The following is a 22,042-nucleotide window of genomic DNA, read 5'->3' as shown; positions in this document are numbered from 1 at the left end:
TGGAGGAGAAGGGAGAACTGTGCAGTGGGTAGGTGGCAGTGAAGATGCAGGAGGCTGGGACAGGTTAGAGGGTGAATGCTCCAAATTTGTGATGTGATCTAGAGCTAGGTCTGCCTACAGCCACATCACATGCATTTACAGATGCCTCCTTTACGTTAAGTGCTGCATCAGAATAGAGGCGAAAAGTTACAGTCCTGCCCTTCAGGAGCTCTGGGTCCGAAAGCAAGAATCAAACAGGCAGTTGTAATACAGGCTATTGCATACTATACTGGGAAGACCATGGCTACAAAATCAGATTGGGGGCATGGAGTTGTCATAGTCCCAGAGGTGGTCATTTGTGTTGAGATCTGAAAGATAAATAGAAGTTAGCCCTCAGGCTTGTAAAACCTGTGACTCATGTCACCATATCCTTGGGACTCTCACCAGGAAATACATTTCCAAGGATAACTTCTGCTCACTCCATAAATGAGGTTTGGCTTTTACTGAACTACTTAACACTTTTGCTAGCAGCAAAGCTGGGGTTTTTAATTTTTCTTTTTCCCGCAGTCTTGCAACCCTTCTACCCCGTGCAATGTAAACTTGAATACATAGATCTTCTGGCTCTGCAAAAGATTATCACTTCTTCTGGGTGAGTGAAAGAGGCTGGATGGGAAGATTCATTTATCAACTGAAGACTTTATTAGTAAGAGTTTATGAGTAAGAGAGTAACCTCATTACAGAGCCAGAAGAGAGAGATGTTTGTTATGGAAGAGATACCCACTTGGCATCCCTCACGTGGCCAGTCATGGTGTTTGGGGCCAGCATGCCAAATTGCTCCAGTTACCATGGGACCCAGACTTAGACAGGAAATCATGGTAGGATGGGAAGGAGTCCAAAATACACATGGCTGGTATATAGGCTACAGTTAGAAAAGAGAGTAAGAGAACAGTGTATCTATTTTCCTGAAGGAGTATTGCAACCTCAGATGGGGTTGTTTTTCCACAACTCCTTACTCCTTGCGTTTTATGGTCCTGATTTTTCAAGCTTTAATTTTTTCCGCGTTAAGCAATACTTACATGAGTTGAAGTGACCCTTTATATGCTTGTGGTAAGCACTTCTTAGGCTTGTCATGTATGCTTTTTAAAATGCCTCCAAACTAAAAAGAAGCCAAAGTCCCTTCAATCAGGAGGACTTTATTCTTCAACACGTGGAAGGAATATCTTTTTGGTTTTACCACAGCTGTCTCTTTCCTGCAAGCAGCCCATTTGAAACCCAGAACTCCCTCGTTTTATGGGATGTGCTGGTGGAACATAGGAGGGGGTCCACTGGAAGGCTGGATTTCTTGGAAATCTCTGCTGCCAAGCTCAGCAACTGAAATTTCTCATTCATAAAGAGGCAGATTTGCATCCTGCCCATGAAGTTGTTAAAAGAAGTTGGAGAATCAGGAAGGGGATCTTACCTGTACTTTTGCAGATGTAGCTCTGGAAAAGTTCCAAAGGGATCTGACTGCATGCACATAGCTTGGGAACAGTTCCAGGCCTCCAGAGGAACATTTAACAGGTCACTATTGATAGCATTTTCCATGAACCACCCTAACATATTTCTTGGGAGTGTGCTAAACTGTTGATGAAATGACAGTTATAGCATGGGGTTTGCACCCCTATGCCTCATTGACAACTATCTCTCTGCTGGATTGGGTATAATTTATCAATTGAATTTATTTCATAAGTTTATTGCCTTTACCCCACACTATGATGTTATAACCATGGCCATTTTAGGAATGAGAGGTGATGACAATAATCCCTAATACAGGTACAGTTTCTCATGGTTTTTACAAAGCACTTTCACATTCTTTCTCATTTGATCTCACAGCTATTATAGCTACCATTTATTGTGTCTTTCTATATATCAGACACCTTACTAAACACTTTATAAACTTTACCTTATTTAATTCTTAAAATAACTCTGTGCAACAATACTCTGATTTGTTCCCATTTTACAAAGAAGGAAACTGAGGGTCAGAGAGATTGGGCCTCTTGACCCAAATCCTAATCTTGGATCTAGGGTAGACTAGGGATTTGAACCTAGATCTACCCAACTCAAAGCCCAAAATACCAGGCAGTACTGGCTCCTATTCTCCCTGTGTTAGAGGCAGAGGGCTTTGTTTTCCTTTAGAAGAAAATGAAGTGCAGAAGGGTTTACTTGAGGTCCCATGGCCAAGGAGTGACCCAGCAGGGACCAGAAGTCAGGAGTCCTGAGATCAGTGCTTTGTCGTTACCCAAGACCTGTTTATCTAAGCAGTATTCCCCAAGTGAAGTCCCTGGCACTTCCCAGCCAGCAACCACTTGGTCAGAAATAGCCAGTCCTGGACTCATACTTGGGCACAGAGATGGGACGGAGTTCTGGGAATCCAGTGCATCATTCTCATTTCCTAAGTAATTTAAAGCTAAGAAACCATAAAGTAGCTTCTAAGTACACTTCTGTTTACCATTTCAGTGTCAGGACTCTGCAGGCTACAGACACAGTTGAATTTACTGGCTTGTTTAAAAGTCCCAAAGTAGGATTGGCTTCAGGTACACTTTGACTCAGAGGTTCACTGGTACCTTTGGGACCCTGTTTCTTTTGCTTACTCTTGCTTCTGGATTCTGCTCCTGGGTTGGCTCCATTATCTGGCAGCCTTTCTCCTGTGGTTGCAAACTAGCTGCAGCAGCCTCAGCTTTGAAGCTGAGTAGGAAAGGGGACCAGTTGGCTTCTTGTGATAGCTCAAAGATTCTGGACTTGAGTCTCGTTGGCTCTGATGGGCCTGGCCTAGGTCATGTGCCCCATCATTGAACCAGTCATTGTAGTCCATAACCACATGCTCCACCCCATGCTGAGAGGGAAGGTTGGGAGCCCTCATGGCCTGAGAACTGTAGGTCAGCTGTGGATAGAAGAGGAAGATTGGATGCTGTGGAGAGAAGATGCTGGGTGATCTGGGCAGGGGGGTGGAGTGGGAAGTGGGATGGAAGATGGATCTGGAAGGAAGTGGAGTGGAAAAACCAGTCTTCTAGAGAAACACATCACCACATTAAGTAGGGCAAGGGTAACTTTATTTGAAGAGTTTCAACAGACCATTAATGAGAGTATCTTTTGGTTGCTGCTGTTAGAGCAATTATTTGTTATATTCACTGACTTCAGTGTTTATTTGTTCTAATGAAACCTTTCCTCTCTGAAAGAGAAGCACTTCTTTAGAGGGTGTCTTAAATATTCAGATTACAGGTTTGAAGGAGTGAGCCATTTAGGTGCTGAATAGCTTGCAGGCTGGGTTTATTTCTGTCTTAATGGGATCTTAAATTGTGCCAGATGAATTTAAATGTTACTTCTCTTCTAGTCTATCTCTGACCCAGTGCTACCTTGACATACTTGAAGTTTTAGTTCAACTGTTTGGTCTAAACTGAGTGTTGACAATTATTATTGAAAAGTTCATCTCGTAGATTTTTGCTTTTAATCAGCTGTAGATGCAAATAGAAGGTGTGACCATATGAGAGGCCACGTGTTTTCAGGATTCTGGATGGCTAAGTGGCCAATTTGCTTTCCATTTCAGAACTAAACCAGACAAGGAGGGGTGTTATAAAATGTTCCTTTTGAAGTACCTACAACTAACTAGATCCAGATAGTGTGAATGTTGAGAGCCAATAAGGGTTCCTTGAATGCCTGCCCGGTGGCCGGCATCTCTAGAGGCATCATGGAGAACAAAAAGGTGGTTTCTGCTCTGGAGGAATGAATGATCCTGTTGCAGTAATAACAGAAACTGTTTATTCAGCAGTTACTAGCTCAGGTACAGTGCTAAGAATTTTGCATACGTTGTCTCATTTAATCCTCATCACACCAGTAGAAGGGCAGATACTGTTCTCCTCAATTTTCAGAGGAAGCAGCAGAGGCTTGGGGAGGTTAGGCAGCCTGCCCCAAGTCACCAAGCAAGTGAGCATCAAAGCCAGCCTCACACCAGGCTCCCTCCAGCTGCAAAGCCTGCGTCCCTCACTCCGATGCTGTGGATAGAGACTGTCATTGCAGGATTTCTCACAGTCAAAAAAGCAAGTACTCCCTTGATAACAGATTTCATCACTCTTGAAACTGGAAGCCTGGGAAGAAGGAAGATTGCCTGAATGCTGAAGCCAGTGTCTTTCCAGAAGGGGGGATACTGAGTGGGCCTCCTTCCAACCTGTCTGACCCACGTGATCTCTCCATCTGTCTGACTTTGACTGCCAATCCAGCCTGGACAGCAGGACCAGTCCAAGCACAAACCAAATCTTTATTCTGGAGTTGGACAGAGTCAGAGTTGCTTAGGGCTGATGAGGCCACCTTAATCTCAATATTTTCACACACTGTGCTAGATGACACATTTCAGAGTACAGGCAGAATGAGGGTTGGAAATGTTAAACAGCCAGCGAGGAGTTGGGTCTGGGAGTGAGACAGCAGACAAAGTGCATTCTAACCATGTACACGCAGCTGCCGGGGGATTGTTTAAACCAGATTCTGCCAAGGTCATAGCAGCAGAAAACATAATCCAGAACTCTTTCTCCCAGGCAGGATCATTTGGTTTCTAAAGTTTTTTTCTCTGTAAGTTTCTCTTGGGAGAAACGTATCTGGGAGAGGGGGAAGAGTGGAAATACGGGAATTTTATTTTAAATCCTTAACAACATGCATATAGAGTCCCACTTATAGGATGATGCTATAGAGTTGACATTTTACCCCCAAGGAAGGAGTATGTAATCCTGGGCTGAGGATGACTTTTTCCAACAAGGTCCCTGACTCCTGTCACTTTTGGGGTTGCTTTCCTTCAAAAGCTAATTGAGAGTGGAAAGGAACTGGGGTGAGTGAAGATAACCAAATGTGCCTGAGGCCTGAGAGTGAGAGCCAGGCCACGTTTCCCCTGCTACTGGGCCCTCAAGTGGCTAGGGGGGTGGATTCCTAGGGTGGGACACAGAGGATCTTCCTGAATTGCTCCCACTCCTTTCCCCTAGAAATATCATCTTCTTTGATGCTTTATATAAAAACTAGGATTGCAATGTCCCTCTTTATCCTTAGTAATCTTCTTTGCTGTGAAGTCTACTTTATCTGATATTAGAGCCACTCCAGCTTTCTTTTGATACGTTTGCGTAATGTTTTTCCATACATTTAATTTTAACTAGCCTATATCGTATTCCAAGTGAGTTTCTTGTATACAGCAAATAGTCATGTTTTGTTGTTTATCTGTTCTCATAATCCATTATCTCCTAACTGGTATGTTTTTTTCTTATTTTATTTTTGAGACGGAGTCTCGCTCTGTTGCCCAGGCTATAGTGTAGTGGCGCAATCTTGGCTCACTGCAACCTCCACCTCCCGGGTTTAAGCGATTCTCCTGTCAGCCTCCTGGGTAGCTGGGATTACAGGAACCCACCACCACGCCCAAATACAAAATAATTTTTGCATTTTTAGTAGAGACAGGCTTTCACCATGTTGCCTAGGCTGATCTTGAACTCCTGACCTCAAATGATCTGCCTGCCTCAGCCTCCCAAAGTGCTGGGATTATAGGCATGAGACAACGCACCCAGCCCTAACTGATATGTTTAGAACATTTACATTTAATCTAATTGTTTATGTATTTGGATCTAGTTTCTGTTATTTTATTATTTGTTTCTGTTTGTTCTGTTTTTGGCTACTCCCTTTCTCCTTTCCTGCCTTTAGATTATTTAAACTTTTTTTTTTTTTTTTGAGACAGGGTCTCCCTCTGACACCCAGGCTGGAATGCAGTAGCATGATCTCGGCTCACTGCAACCTCTGCCTCCCAGATTCAAGTGATTTTCATACATCAGCCTCCCAGGTAGCTGGGACTACAGGCATGTGCCACCACACCTAACTAATTTTTGTATTAATATTTTTAGTAGAGATGGGGGTCTCACCACGTTGGGCAGGCTGGTCTTGAACTCTTGGCCTCAAGTGATCCAACTGCCTTGGCCCCCCAAAGTGTTGGGATTACAAATGTGAGCCACTGTACCTGGCTAGAACATTTTTCAGTATTCTGTTTTAATGTATCTATTATGTGTTTTGACTATATCTCTGTGGTTTTTTTGGTGGGTGGTCTAAGGATTAAAAACTACATACTTAATTTTCCATTGTCAACTTAGAATCGGTATTTTCCTAGATGTTTAAGTGGAATGTATAGAAAGCTCACCACTATCCCTTTACCCTTTGTATAAAATCTAACATTGTAGGAGACTGCTAGCCTATTAGAGTACAGAGAGAGAAGAAAGACCTGGAAGGAATTAAGAGTTGGTTTTACCTCACTCATTCATTCATTTAGTAAACATTTATCCAGCTTTTTCTTTATTTTATTTTATTTTATTTTATTTTATTTTATTTTATTTTATTTTATTTTATTTTATTTTATTTTTTGAGACTGTCTCACTCTGTCGCCCAGGCTGGAGTGCAGTGTTGCAATCTCAGCTTACTGCAACCTCCACCTCCCGAGTTCAAGTGACTCTCCTGCCTCAGCCTTCCAAGTAGCTGGGATTACGGGCATGTGCCACCACACCTGGCTAATTTTTGTATTTGCAGTAGAGATGAGGTTTTGCTGTTTTGGCCAGGCTGGTCTCGAACTCCTGGCCTCAAGTGATCTGCCTGCCTCAATCTCCCAAAGTGCTGGGATTGCAGGCGTGAGTCACTGCACCCGGCCTATCCAGCATTTGACCAGGCAGCAGAATCCCCTCTCCTGGGCTGGATAATCTATAGATCAATACAGTAGTAAGAGTAGTAATAGTAATAGCTAACTTCATTAAGCACTTACTATGTGCCATGCACTTTTCTAGGTTCTTACAGGTAGTATATTGCTATTTCAATAATGCTATGATGTTGGTGCTATGATTATCTGCACCTTATAAGTGAGGAAACTAGGGAACGGAGAGCTTAACTTGCCTAAGGTCACGTCGGCAGCAGATAGCAGAACTTTGGGCCCACTGATTTTTAATCCTGCATTATCACAGAACCTCCATGGGGAAAGAACACATACTGGAAGGTATAGCACTGGTTCTGTCTTGGAGAGCATTTATTCTCCACCACATTCAGACCTTCCTCTGATAGTGGCCACTGATGGACCACTAAAGAGGCTCTTTTTTCCCAAACTAGTTATTTTTCCTATCCTCCTGTAAATATTCATAGGATATCTTCTTTGTGTCAGGGATTATGCACATAATATCAGAGCTCTGAGAACTTTGACTTTGAATCTGAAGTTAAAACTGGGAAGTGTCCAGGTATGGTGGCTCATACCTGTAATCCCAGCACTTTGAGGGGGCCAAGGCAAGAGGATTACTTGAAGCCAGGAGTTTGAGACCAGCCCAGGCAACCTCAACAACAAAAAAGAACAAACCAAAAAAAGAACTGGAAAGCACTCTAACTGTGACCGAATCAGTGCACTTTTCAGATGTGGACTCTGAGGTGGAGGGAGGTGATACAGTCTGCCACGGGCACTCCAGTAGAGGCTGAGCCTGCCGGGACATAGGCCTCTGACTCCTGCTTTGGTGTCTTTGTGCGTCTTTGTGCTTTCTTGGCAGAAAGGTAGGGGAAGCTAAAAAGTAGCAGAGCTGGAAATTCTGATCTGTAACTGAACAGGGACAGCCAGCGGTCCCCAAAGGGGAGCCTCTACTTGCATGCCAAGCCTCAGAAGGCTTTGGCAGCTGGGCTGTGCTATTTAATAACCTCCTGGAGGCTGATCCAGTGGTCTGGCAGCATTACTGACCAATGCTGAGGTTTATTTGTAGGCTTGGGTTTTGCATTTCCTGAAGAGGCAGGAGTGGACCCTAGGAAGAAGTGTTGGAGGGGTAGCTCAGTCTAACTGGCACCTGTTTTTTTAACAGCATGACTTACTGTGGGAATGACAAGTAGATATCACCTCATGGACCAAGCCTGATCAATCATCACTGTCTGGAGCACTGTGGTGAATTCAGGCTCAGAAGAAAGAATTCAGAAATCCATTGATGATGCCTATCATGGGCCCAGGAATAGGGGCTGGAAACTTGTCTGGCAGATATTTACCACTAGTGTGAGGGTTAAAGTAAGCCTGGGATTTTAATTATAGCACAATAATATCTGTCCTCATAGGACTGTTGTGAGGACTAACTAAGAATTTATGTAAAGTAGCTGGGCATGGTGGCTCATGCCTGTAATCCCAGCACTTTGGGAGGCTGAGGCAGGCAGATCACTTGAGGTCAGGAGTTCAAGACCAGCCTGGCCAACATGGTGAAACCCCGTCTCTACTAAAAATACAAAAACTAACTGGGTATGGTGGCAGGCACCTGTAATCCCAGCTACTTAGGAGGCTGATGCAGCATTGTTTGAAACCAGGAGGCAGAGATTGCAGTGAACCAAGATCATACCATGGCACTCCAGCCTGGGCAACAGAGTGACACTCCATCTCAAAAAAAAAAAAAAAAAAAAAAAAAGAGGGAATTTACGTTGATGTAAAGTGCTCATTAGCTTAGTCATTTGTTTTGCTTTGTGTTGGTAAGGGCTTTTCAAAAGAAAGAAAGTTCAGTTTATTCATTCAAATATTTGAGTGCCCTCCATACACCTGGTGCTAATTTGGCCCTGGAGAAAGATTGTGCAAGCTATACTAGGTCACTCTTCTCATGGAGATTGTTCTACATGGAAGAAATAGACAATAATTAGTAAATAAACAAGTAGGATGACTTCACATAGTGATAACTGTATTGAAGAACAACAAAAATTAGGCTAATACGAGACAGAAGGACTATGAAGGGGGAGGAAACCCCTGTGACAGGGTGACATTTGAACAGAGAACGAGCCGATAGTGCAAAGATCTTGGAGAGAGAAGAAAAAATGTGAAAGACTCAAGGAGAAACAGCCTTAAGGCATAGTGAACTTACAGAAGGCAGGCCAGAGACACCATGCCCTAGTTGCTAAATGCTTTCATTATAAAAATTTAAAAACATTAAAAAAGTATACAGGCTTACGTAATAACCTCTGTATATCCATCACATAGATTGAACTGTTAGCTCTGTTTTGACTCTTGCTATCTGCACCTCCCTTTTTTGGCTGTACTTGGTTAAAGCAAATCCCAGACATCATGACATTTTATCCCTAAATACTTCAGTATGTATCCCTTAAAAAATAAGCATTTGCGGCCAGGCGCAGTGACTCACGCCTGTAATTCCAGCACTTTGGGAGGCTGAGGCAGGCGGATCACTTGAGGTCAGGAGTTCGAGACCAGCCTGGCCAACATGGTGAAACCCCGTCTCTACTAAAAATACAAAAATTAGCCGGGCATGGTGGCAGGTGCCTGTAATCCCAGCTACTCGAGCTAAGGTACAAGAATTGCTTGAACCCAGGAGGCAGAGGTTGCAGTGAGCCGAGATCGTGCCACTGCACTCCAGCCTGGGCGATAGAGCGAGACTCAATCTCATAAATAAATAAATAAGCAAGCAAGCATTTGTTCCCACCTAGGCAACATGGTAAAACCCCATCTCTACAAAAAAATACAAAAATTAGCTGGGTGGGTGGTACGCACCTCTGGTCCCAGCTACTGGGAGGGTGGGGGGCTGAAGTTGGAGGATCACTTGAGCCCAGGAAGCAGAGGATGCTGTGAGCCAAGATTGCACCACTGCATTAGAGCCTGGGTGACAGAGAGAAAAAAGCGTTTCCTTACATCCTAATGTAGTTTCTTGCATTTAATTCTCACAATGCCATTGTCATGATTAATAATTTATTCTTTTTCTCTTATTATTTTATTTATATATTTATTTATTTATTTATTTGAGATGGAGTCTCACTGTGTCACCTAGGCTGGAGTGCAGTGGTGCAATCTCAGTTCACTGCAACTTCCACCACCCAGGTTCAAGTGATTGTCCTGCCTCAGCCTTCCTAGTAGCTGGGATTACAGGTGCATGCCACCATGCCCAGCTAATTTTTGTATTTTATTAGACGTGGGGTTTCACCATCTTGGCCAGACTGGTCTCGAACTCCTGACCTCAAGTGATCCACCCTCCTCAACCTCCCAAAGTGCGATTAACAATCTCTTAATACAACCTAGTACTTAGTCTATACCCAAATTTTCCTGCTTGCCTCAAAAATATAAATTAGTTTGAATCAGATTCTAAACAAGGTCTGTGTATTGCATCTAGTTATTAACCAGATCATGTGTTTCATGATGAAAAGGTATTTGACGTCAGACCTACCTTATCTGGATGGGTTTTGCGTGCCTTTCTGGCCAGATATGTAGCTTAGATCGTTAGAAGCCCTGAAGGGCTGTGAACCCCTGCCAATACTGTCAGGTTATTTCCCAGAGGGATATTCAGAAATCCTCTGCCCTTCCTTCATTGTTGCTAACAAAACTGTGGCTCTTTCGGTGTCAGAAGCAATGGGGGTATGAGTTTGGGCTTTCTCTGCTGACCCAGAGGTGAGTCCCGACTGTCCTGAAGGCTGTCACGATTCTAGTCCCATTGAGAGTGATTGGTTTCAGAACAGGCATGTGACCCAGTTCAAGCCATCAAGGCCTGAGGGAAGGATGCTAGGTGGAGCTTCTCTGGAAGGGTTTCTTTTCCCTTGGTTTGGGGTCTTGAGACTTGAATGGTATATGCGAACATCATGTCTAGAGCTGCGGCAGCTGCCATCTCATGACTGCAGGGAAAATCAGGCAAAACCCAACATCTTGATGCAGGCCAAGGTGGGAGAAAGGACATAACTTGGGTCCTTGATGACACTGTTGAGTCACAGAACCAACCAACCCTGAAACTACCCTACCCAGCTCTTCTTACAGGAGACAATAACGCCCTGGCTGTTTAAGCCACTTTTAGTTGTTGGCTTTGCATCCGGGTGCATCCCAATGATACATCACAGGCATCTTTCTGGATAAAGCAATATTGTCTCTAATAGGTTTTTATTTACTTTGAGACAGAAAAGAAGTAACCTTTAAAGTCTATCCTTATTCTCTTGCTTAAACCACTGTTTTTATTTTTTCCAATTGGTTGGTGAATATTTCTCCTTTTTCCTGTTGAACTTCAATTGAATATGGCACACTCTCATGAGTTGTCTATAAACATTTAAGAAGCTTTGGCTTCTGTGGAATAAGAAATACGCAGCTGTTCATTCTCCCTTGCAATGACTTGACCCAAAGTAAAACATCTTTTTTTGTTTGTTTGTTTGTTTTTGAGATGGAGTTTTGCTCTTGTTGCCCAGGCTGGAGTGCAATGGTGAGATCTCAGCTCACTGCAACCTCCGCCTCCTGGGTTCAAGCGATTCTCCCACCTCAGCCTCCCGAGTAGCTGGGATTACAGGCATGCGCCACCATGCCCAGCTAATTTTGTATTTTTAGTAGAGACAGGGTTTCTCCATGTTGGTCAGGCTGGTCTTGAACTCCCGACCTCAGGTGATCCACCCACCTCAGCCTCCCAAAGTGCTGGGATTACAGGCGTGAGCCACCGCACTTGGCCAGTAAAACATCTTTAAATGGCGCAAAGTAAAACTTTGTGGAAGATTTTGGTGCACATTGGCTGAAAGACAGATACAAATGGTATTGGGGAAGATTGGCAAGCTTGAATGTGCTGCTTGCTAACCAGAAGTAAGGCATTCTCAGTAGTGAGCTGGGATTGCCCAGGGGAGATAAAGTTAGTCTGGTATGTTCTAGAGAGTTCCACGGACGTCTAATGTGGACACACGACACCCATATGCCTGCCTGTGGGGTAAGTCCTTCGTGAAGGTTAGGTGAGAGAATTCAAGAGGCAGCCAGCCCACCCAATGGCACCTTGAGCTTTCAAGTTCTACTTTGCTTTGGAGAAGAAATTCTACTGTGGTGAGGTATATCCATCCAAGTGACTTTTATCATAAATCTCTGTACACCTGTGGAGGCATTGAAATGGTCTACAGCTGAAATGGCCTTTTCAGCTCAGATCATCCAGGGATAAGGTTTTAATCATCAACCAGACTGCTTCGGCCACTGAGTACATTTTTAGGACCCTGCCTTCTGACTTCAATTCCCCCAGGAAATACAAAGCATTCAAATGTTAGCCCAAGGGTAACATCCTTAAGAAATAAAATCTGCTCTTTTCTCAAAACCTGAGTGCCTTCCAAAGCCAGAATTAAATTTCTATTTGGGTCATCTGTGCACATATTTTGGGGAGACATAAATCATATGCAGCTCTGTTAGAGATCTCAGGGAGTGAGCTGTGTGTTAAGAATAAAAATAAAATTAAGTAACGTGTGCTAATAGATTAGTATGTTTCAAGTACTGAACTAAATGCTTTATACTCACTAGCTCATTTTAATACACCTGCTCTCTAAAAAGTGGCCAGGCACGGTGGTCACGCCTGTAATCCCAGGACTTTGGAAGGCCAAGGTGGGTGGATCACCTGAGGTCAGGAGTTCGAGGCCAGGCACAGTGTCTCACACCTGTAATCCTAGCCCTTTGGGAGGCCGAGGTGGGTGGATCACCTAAGGTCAGGAGTTCGAGACCAGCCTGGCCAACATGGTGAAACCCATCTCTATTAAAAATACAAAAATTAGCTGGGCGTGGTGGTGCATGCCTGTAGTCCAACCTACTTGGGAGGCTGAGGCAGGAGAATCACTTGAACCTGGGAGGCAGAGGTTGCAGTGAGCAGAGATCACGCCACTGAACTCTAGCCTGGGTGCCAAAGTGAGACTTCATATAAAATAAAATAAATATAAAATAAAATAGTCCTGGTGTCTCATTTTCCAGCTGATAAAACAGAGGCTGGGAGGGGTTAAATAACTTACCACACAGTGTGAAGAGTGACAGTGGGAAGCTCACGCTCAGGTCTGGCTGACTCCACAGCCCGCCTTGGTAATGACTTCAGAGGTGACAGACAGCACTGCATATACTTGGTGTATGTTGGCTGTTCCCTTTTTGTCCCAAACCTGTCCTTGGCTTGGAGCTATCCCACACCTAGGTTTCTCCTCCCCTGCTGCCTAGATACTGGCCAGTGCAGGCATCAGCTGGTCCTGGTGGGACCTGCCCCTTTATGATAAAGCCAAAAGAGATCCCAGTAAGCTTTGGGGTCTCTTCTGACTTTATCACAAAGGGGGAGGTCTCTGTGACCTTCTTCACCTGGCTGTATAATGACCATCTGAAGTCGGTGGGGTTGTGGGGAAGAAGGCCTGAGCCAAGGCTTCTTGTGTGTCAGATCCAGGAAGCATTTTATTTCATTTCATTGCCTTTCCCTGGGTCATCTGTTGTAGAGTCTGAGGTGGTGTCTACTCCAGCGCTGTTCCTATTACTCTGTGGGGCTGACAAGATGTTATCCCCCAGCTCCAGGGGCCTTGGCCATCATCCTTGCTAAGACAGTGCCAGTCTCTGGCTCCAGGATTTCAGTCTGGAAAGAGGTGCCTTTGACATTACAGCTGACTCAGGCTAATAACTGGGCAGTTCCTTTGAAAGGCATGCAAGCTTCCTTCCTTAGCCCTGAGATGACACTTCTTGGTATTTCTCCATCAAAACATCTTGTTTCTCCAAACAGGGGGGTTTATAGATTACTTAGACTAGTGGTTAAGCTGCCCAAGGATGACCTGAGAGCAACATGCTGGATCCTTATCACATTATGGGTCACCTCCCAACTCAGAACATTGAGTTCTGACTCCCCAGCTGGCATTAAATGGAAAATAATCCTCTGGACTCTTGGACTCTGTACTTACTGGCTGATTCACAGTCTAGTAAAACCACCTTCTTTCAACTGCCTAGAAATCTAAGTTGGAATTTTTATTATGACGTCATTGTGTATTTAGTAGCTGAGACTCAGGTCCATCCTGGCCCTGCCACGAGCCAACTGAGTGTCCTTAGACCAGTCCCTTGGTCCCTCAGACCCCAAGCTTCCTCCTTGGGAAAGTGTTGAGAATGACTTTTCTAGATGGTCTCTGGGTTGCCTTTAAAATAAGTCATTCCTTGGAATCATGTCTTTTGCAGTAACATGGGTGGAGCTGGAGGCCATTATCCTAACTGAACTCAGAAGCAGAAAATCAAATATCACATGTTCTCATAAATGGGAGCTAAACAATGGGTATGCATGGACATAAAGATGGAAAAAATAGACACTAGGAACCAAAAAACGTGGAGCCAGGCACAGTGACTCATGCCTATAAATCCCAGCACTTTGGGAGTCTGAGGCAGATGGATCACCTGAGGTCAGGAGTTTGAGACTGGCCTGGCCAATGTGGCGAAAGCTTGTCTCTACTAAAAATGCAAAAAAATTAGCTGGGCATGGTGGCACATGCGTGTAGTCCCAGCTACTTGGGAGGCTGAGGCAGGAGAATTACTTGAACCCAGGAGCTGGAGGTTGCAGTGAGCCAAGATTGTGCCACTGTACTTCATCCAGCCTGGGTGACAGAGCGAGGCTATGTCTCAAAAAAGAGGTAGGGGAGGGGGACGTGGGGAGGGGAGGAGTGGGGGTGAGGGTTGAAAAATTACATATTAGGTAAAGTGTTCAATATTTGAATGATAGGTATGCTAGAAGCCCAATCCCCACCATTATGTGTGTAATACCCATGCAACAAACATGCACATGTATCCCCAAATCTGAAATTTTTTTAAAAAGCCGTTATTAATTTTTTTTTTTTTTTTTTGAGACAGGATTTTGCTCTGTTGCCTGGGCTGGAATGTGGTGACAACATCTTGGTGCACTGCAACCTCCGCCTCCCAGGCTCAAGTGATCCTCCCACCTCATCCTCTCAAGTAGCTGGGACTACAGGCACCTGACTAATTTTTGTATTTTTTTGTGGAGATGGAGTCTTGTCATGTTACCTAGGCTGGTCTTGAACTCCTATACTGAAGCGATCCTCCTGCTTCAGCCTCCCAGACTGCTGGGATTATAGGTGTAAGACACCATGCCTGGCCCATTCTTAATTTCGTTGACCAAGTGTTTCTCTTACTGTTTTCGCACTCTCATTGCCAGTGCCCCCTTATTGAGCAGTCTGTGGGCAGAGCGCAATCAAGGGAAAAATACAAGATGCGGGAGAGGAGACAAACCCCCAACTCCCTTGCCCAGGAAGATTATAGTCTCCAGGGTAGAAAGCCTGTAAACACTGTACTAATGATTGTGATGGAGATCTGAACAGAGGGCAGTGGAATCAGAGGGCAAGATTGCCTAAGCCAGGCTCATCAGGCATATCTAGAATATAAACAGATGGCACAGGTGACATGTTTAACTTACACAAGAGAGGTCATGTCTTTGTTAAACATCCAAAAACCTATGGCATGAAGTACCAAGGGTTCTTGCATGTGTCTCTGGTTGGAATTGTTCTAGTTCTGTTGGTTTTGTAGTCAGTTGCCTATGAGCAGAGCAGAATCAAACAGGCTTTGTGCCTCTACCGCCCTGAGTACCTCAGGCACAGTAGTTTTGAAGCAGACACTGATGGGGCTGGAGTGTTTCGTCCAGATCTTTCTGTTCTTTCCCATGTGCCTCCCGGGCTTCCCCAGTGAGGTCATTAGTGTGTCCAGGGTAAGAACTGTATCACAAGCTTCCCACATATCTTCTGTGCTACCACTGTCTTGGTCACACACAGGTCCTTTGTATACCCTTAATGTAGTCAATTAGGACAGGCTCAGCCAAGCTTTATTTATTCTTGGAAACTCTGTGTGTGCAGTTGTTATTGGTGCGGTTTTTATCACATTCAAGTACACACTGTATTTTTTTTTAAAAACATATTCTGGGGCTCATGGATTATCTTAAAGCTGGGCTTCAGCAGCACCAGTGGCAACAGCAACTTGGCCTTGGTATTTTCACTGCTCAGCCTTGTAGTTGATGATGAAATATTTGCGACAAACACGTTTGCCACTCGGTCACTGACAAGCCTGTGGGTTTTGGGGTAGCAAAAGAGCAGAGTGCAGGAAATGATCCAGTGAGTATCTTTTACCTCCCAGAGGAGCAGAAGGCTCAGCCCATCCACTGTGATTATAGTCAGAGCTGGGCTGGATCTGAAGTTGAGTTTAAAATGAAATCATTGCTGAAAGGCGAGTGCTAACCTACTGTGAGGAGTTCTTGTCTATCCAGAGAGCCCCAGTTTGCTGATGGTTGAAAGAAAGGATGAAAGGGAGCCATTTGCGACTTTTGCAGTGTCCGTATGATCCGTGCCACTGTGATGGCCAGAATCTGGGACTGACCACAAAACACAGCCTCACGTTGGGTGCTGTCAGTGAGGGCTGTCTCCCCTCCTCCTTGCCCAGGGACGGGGTGTCTGGAATGTTAGTTTCCTTGCTGCAGTGTGAGTGAAGCAGAGGAACATCGGCATTTTTAGCCTTGTTCTAGCAACCCTGGCCACTTGATCCCAAAGTTAGTTCTTGTCAAGTGTTGGATAAAACAAAGCAACATATTTTTTCTTTTGTTCTTAACATTTTAACTGCAAACATTTAATCAGCAGTTTGACGATGACTGGTTAGAAATTGCCGCATAAGCTCGCCTTGAAGAAGTTATGCTAAGCCACCTCAGGTTTCTCCACTGTGAGGGGTAGATGCCTGGCACCTGGCTGGCACAGGTGTTGGGAATTCTGTGTGTCAGAAGCACTGAGAGCCTGCCATGAAAGGCAGCTGGAAACCTGGGGGGTGGCTGCTCGTGTCATTTCTGATAGGAAAAGGGAAATTGAATTTAAGGAGACCTGCGCATTTCAGAACTATACTTACCACAGTAAAGCCTCCGGGCTACGGCCAGCCAGAATGTGCCCTTCTCTCCCTGCCCATGTCTGCTCAGCGCCGAGGGTGAGCTATGATTGGGGCAGGGGAGGAGGGATGGAGGAGACAGGCACTGGATGCCAGGAGAGGAGAATGGGAACCCAGAACACATCCCTGGAATCAATCTAATTGTTTCCATTCCTCCTCATGAATGATTGGGGCCTGTATTCCCCAGAGCTTTTTAGCTGCCCAATACAGCTTTCCTTTGTCTCAAAAACCTCCCAAAGATGGGCTTCTAAACCTCGGAAAGCCAAGCCCCAGACCCTCAGAGCCCCATGTCAGGATGGCCCCGGACACAGGTTATTTCAAATAGACTCATTTCTCCCCATCAGCTGAAACCAGTCAGCCTGAACTGGGCGTGTTTATTCAGTGAAACCCAGGAACCTCAGTGCCCTGGTTTTAATCAGGAGACTTGCTCTGTGGTAATTTGGGGCTCCTCGACCAAGGGTCTGGTCCCAGTTAGTTTCCAAATGCCAGGCGTGCTTGTTTCCACAGACAGTGTCTGCGCTCACGTGGCCTCATGCAAATGCACTGTCCAGAAGGCAGGCTCGCGCGAGTGCAGGCCTCTTTTTAATATGGAATTTTGAGCCCTTCTGGCGAGGACTTTTCCAGTCTTTGTTTTTTGAAAAGAGGGTAAGATAATCTGCAGCGGCCTTTCTGGGGAAGTCATTTGGAGTGTTGGGTTGGAGCTTGGCAACATGGAAACCATTAGGGCCATCACAGGGGCTGACTGTACCTTGTAAGTGCGGCATCACCCTCAGCCTCTCAGAACAGGGTTAGCCTCATGGACTCTCAGCCTGTGCTGTCACACAGGGCCCCCCACTCAGAAGGGCTCCACACTTGGCTTAATGATCAGCTATCACTGCCTTGAAATTCTTAATTTTTGAACAAGGAGCCTCCCATTTTCATTTTGATCTGGACCCTGAAAATTATCTAGCCAGTCCTTCTAAGAGGATCCAGGCACCAGCATCGGATACCAGGGGGAGGTTGAGCTCTGCCACTCACCAGTCATGAGCCCTTGGTCTGAGGGGACACTGACCTCCTAGCCTCAGTGTCCTCCTCTCAAAAGAGAGCCATCAGCACCTCTCCCTTGCAGCTGTGTGCAGAGAAGAAAAGATCATGCCCCTGTGGCACCTAGCACAGGTGTGTCACATGGTAGGTCCTTAAAACACACACATCTATTTGACTTTTCTAGTCATTCCTTTCTTCATGCAACAAATACTATTGAACATGGACTATGTGCCAAGCGCTGGCTCAGCCTTGGAGTACAGATACCCTAGTAAGAAAAACAGACCTGGTCCCGCCCTCATCGAGGTTAGAGTCTAATCTCTGACCCACTTAGTGAACAGGTTGCAGAAGCCTCTTCTCTGTTTCAGCATATCCGAGAAGAACAGCCTCAAGTCTGGTGAGACCAGCTGCTCTGGAAGATCTCTTGGGCATGCGACATGGCCATCTATCCAGCCTTCCACATGACCCTCGAGGGTTTTGGGGTGCTGGATATCAGGGAATTAAAGCCACCTGCATGGGAGTATCTCAGGTAGTAGTTTCCCTCATCACTCTGTGACCAGCATTAGCCCCTCTCCTTTGCTGTTGTAAATTTGGGGACCTCCAGCCCCCTCGGTTTCCAGAGCATGTTTATCCATTCACCACATAACAGGCAGCACCCACACCCTAGGACCGTGTGGGAGCCAGGTTGTGCCCTCCAACCTGCCCCACCTTGAAGGAGAACTCGGCCTTAACGTCAGCAGTGCTGGGGCAAGTCCCTTGCTGAGGACGGTGGGGAGGGCTTTTACACAGAGAATCTATGATTATAAGGGTGGTAAGAAATACTAGTAATAATAGTTGGACATAGTGAGTGTGTGTTCATCATCAGGCACTGAGTGCTTTACACAGATCCACTTGTTTCTCCGTAGAGTTGCAAAGTCCTATCATAACCTCTATTTTACAGATGAAGAAACTGAGGCAGGTGCGCCCTCCCAGTGGCATCTCTCCCACTTTCGTGGCATGGCTGATATCACCGTCTACATGAAATGTGTATTGTAACAACTCCATCTCTCAGGGCGTTTGAGATATTCTCCGCACATCCTCCTTGTCCAATGGTCTGGGTTACAATGACTGGGCTGTGTATGAGGCCAAAAGAGCTTCTGCTTCTCCGGGGAGCCTGGGCCCCAAGGGGCAGGAGGTGGCACTCTCTGGGGGGCCTGATGGTGGTGCAGGTTGCTGCTGGGGTTGCTGGCTTGCCTTCTCAGCCAGGTGGCTTGTAAGGAGCTACCATACACTTCAAAGAATGTGGTCAGACCACATCCTACCCAGGAGACAGCTGAGGTGCTCGGGAGCCGGCCCAATGGGACACTCCGTCTGTCCGGGAGCCAGCCTTTCAGAGCCAGCACCAGAAGCGGTTGGGGTGTCTGGTCATTCTGTTACTCCTCTTTCCACTGCTAGCTGCTCTCCAGCTGCTGACCTAATTCCAGGGAAGGTTCCAGAAACCCTTGAGCAAGAAAATGCACATGGGCTCCTGTATAAATTGTTCCACTGACAGTGAGCTATTGTTAACTCTTTCAGTTCCTGGACCATTTCTAAATCATGAATATAGATTTAATTTTAGTGCAGGTAGTTTCACTTGCTAAGAAATTGGGTCTTTTCTATTCTTTCTTTTTTCTTTTTTTCTTCTAAGAACATGGATTTTAGAATCATTTAGGCCTGTGTTTCAGGCCCCAGCTCTGCCACTTGCTAGCTTTGTAACCTAACACAAGTTACCCCTTCTGAGGCGATTTCTCCTATAAAATGAGAATAGTAGCCCAGCATAGTGGCACACGCCTGTAATCCCAGCACTTCGGAAGGCTGAGGTGAGAGGCTTGCCTGAGCCCAGGAGGTCAAGGCTGCAGTGAGCCATGATTGCACCCCTGCCCTCCAAACTGGGTGACAGAGTGGGACCCTGTCTCCAAAAAGAGAATAGTAGAACCCAATACACAGCATTGTTCAGAGGAGTGGGCTTATTTTCTCTTAGACCAGCTGAGAGATGAAAGAACAAATGGGAACTCTGAGGATTGCAAACCAATCTGACCCTGGATACAGTTTAGAGAATAAACTTTTTGATTCAGAAATAATAAAGCGCTGAATGCTCTCCTGGGCACAAAAGCCAGAAACTGGGTTCCGAAGCTGCGTATCCCTGTCAAGCCCTGCGGAATGGCCAGCAATGTGCTTTCATCTTGTTTATCCCTTATAATCCTCAAGGTGACCCCCTACAGCAGTCACCACCCCCGGTTTATAGTGCAGAAAACTCGCCCAATTTGAGCCTGAATCTTCTGGCCCTAAGTCCAACATCACTTGCCTCGTAGAGACCCTCTGAAATGAATGAACAAGGTGTGTTTTCCTGGGATTCCAGTGTTTAATTAAAAAGGGACCATTTAGGGGTATCTGGAGATGCTGTGTCAGGTTGAAGATGCCTTTCCAGGCAGAACCACCTGCTTGTTCCATTGGCTTTCTCTTTTTCTTTTTCTTTTTCTTTTTTTTTTTTTTTGAGATGGAGTCTTGCTCTGTCGCCCAGGCTGGAGTGCAATGGCACAAACTCAGCCCACTGCAACCTCCACCTCCTGGGTTCAAGCAATTCTCCTGCCTTAGCCTCCTGAGTAGCTTGGATTACAGGCGTGCGCCACCATGACCTGCAAATTTTTGTATTTTTAGTAGACACGGGGTTTCACCATGTTGGCCAGGCTGGTCTCCAACTCCTGACCTCAGGTGCTCCGCCCACCTTGGCCTCCCAAAGTGCTGGGATTACAGGTGTGAGCCACCATGCCCGGCCCCCATTGGCTTTCTCTGAATGAACGGGTCATTAGAAGTCCTGCTCCAGCAGAGTAGTAGTTGATTGCTCACTTGTAGCACCTGTTCCATCCTTTACTGTAGGGTTTATCTCAAAAGAGAAAAGTGTAATAATTACCCTAGGAAAGAATACTAGTAACTGGGGCTGGGCTTAAATAAGTGCCTCCCAGTATAAATGGACACCTTCTTTTCAAAAAAGATTTTATACTCGGCCTGGAGAACAACCTCAGCTTATCTCTGAAAGTATTATGTGTTCTCTCTCTCCCTCTCTCTCAAAATATTAGCAGCGGCTTCAGAATTTCTATTTACGTGAGGCGCTCTGCCTTAATCTGGTTCCGAGAGTGGCCGAGGGACTTGTTTGAAGCACCCTTTGCACTGCAAGATGAGATGTTTTTAGAGTGAGCTTATTTGGATTGGTTTGGAGCTGAGGGTAATGATGAGGACAGCTGAGGCCTATCCCAGCCACTCTGGTGTTCTCAGGACTAAATATCACCTTCAGTATTTTTAGATTTCTTGCCAGCAGATAAATTTAGAAGCACTTGCAATGTGCTTTTCTGGGTCTGCAGCATGGAAGTGTTAAGTTCCTGTCCAGCTTCACCTCACAGGTGGCAGCTCTTAGGAGGTCAGACAGCCCTTCCGGGGCCTGACAAGCCAGGGTGTGCATGAGGTCTGTCAGGGTCCCCTGGAACGAGATGCAGCATCCTGGAGCCAGTGAAAGCTAGAGCTCTGAGGAGCCGCCTCTTCTCCCAAGGCCAAGAAGGTCAGAAACTGAAGGCAGTGGAAGGGGTCAGGCTGTGCATACAGCCCCTTTGACATGGAGAAACGGCATCTCTCTGTGGTTTCCTCAGGACCAGCACAAGTCTGACTGGTATCCTCCATCAGGACCTTGGCTGAAGAGAGGGACCACCGGGGAAATTGCTTCCCTTCCAAAAACAGCACAAATGCACACATTTGCTCTCACAGCTGTTTTTGAGTGTGTCGTGTGGGGAGCTGTGCAAGGGACTAAGGATATGAGATGCAGGTGACCATCAGTGGATTAATGAAGGAGACGCACATTAAAGAGCATAACCTCCATGCAGTCCACCCACGGAGGAGAGCCATGTTCCTTCTTAAACAGGGGTCCGTGACCCAGTTGGGTAGGAGGACTTGACTAGCAGAGGGAGGGTGCTGGGGGGTGAGGGAGGTGCAAGGAAAGGGAACAGCATGTGTGAGGGGCCCTGAGGCTGAAAAGAACAGGAACTTAAAGGCTGGAGGGATGCAGCGGAGGTTGATGTGGTCAGAACTGTGCTCTGAAAGGAGGGCTTGCTCTGGCTGGAGGGATAGGTGTGTGAGGAGGAAACCCACAAGGGCACCATGGAGTACTTCAGGGGAGAGGCAAGGCAAGCTTGGGGACGTGAGGGTGGCGGTAGAGAGAAGCAGCAGTGACAGATTTGGAAGTTGATTCGAAACTCAGAGGGTTGCAGGGAGGGGTAGGTGAATCGGGACTCACATTTCTGGCACTCACAGCAGGGTAGATGCTGGAGCTTTAATTGAGAGAGGGAG

The 22,042-nt window shown here is 45.9% G+C and overlaps 1 protein-coding gene across 1 annotated transcript in view, besides 1 other annotated feature; it reads left to right on the top strand.

Moving 5' to 3' along the window:
- Positions 1 to 22,042, top strand: part of ABTB2 (ankyrin repeat and BTB domain containing 2) — a 207,024-nt gene that overhangs the window by 25,669 nt on the left and 159,313 nt on the right. The gene's annotated exons all lie outside the window — the stretch shown is intronic.
- Positions 2,754 to 2,954: a silencer, noted in NCBI's record as "peak1251 fragment used in MPRA reporter construct". NCBI's record gives its function as "represses an SCP1 promoter by STARR-seq MPRAs in K562 erythroleukemia cells {active_cell/tissue: K562}" and the evidence as "EXISTENCE:reporter gene assay evidence [ECO:0000049][PMID:32103011]".

The sequence above is a fragment of the Homo sapiens genome, chromosome 11 (genome assembly GCF_000001405.40).
Source record: "Homo sapiens chromosome 11, GRCh38.p14 Primary Assembly".
Classification (NCBI taxonomy): Eukaryota; Metazoa; Chordata; class Mammalia; order Primates; family Hominidae; genus Homo; species Homo sapiens.
The sequence above is the reverse complement of the archived record's forward strand: the minus strand, read 5'-3'. Positions and strand labels throughout refer to the sequence as shown.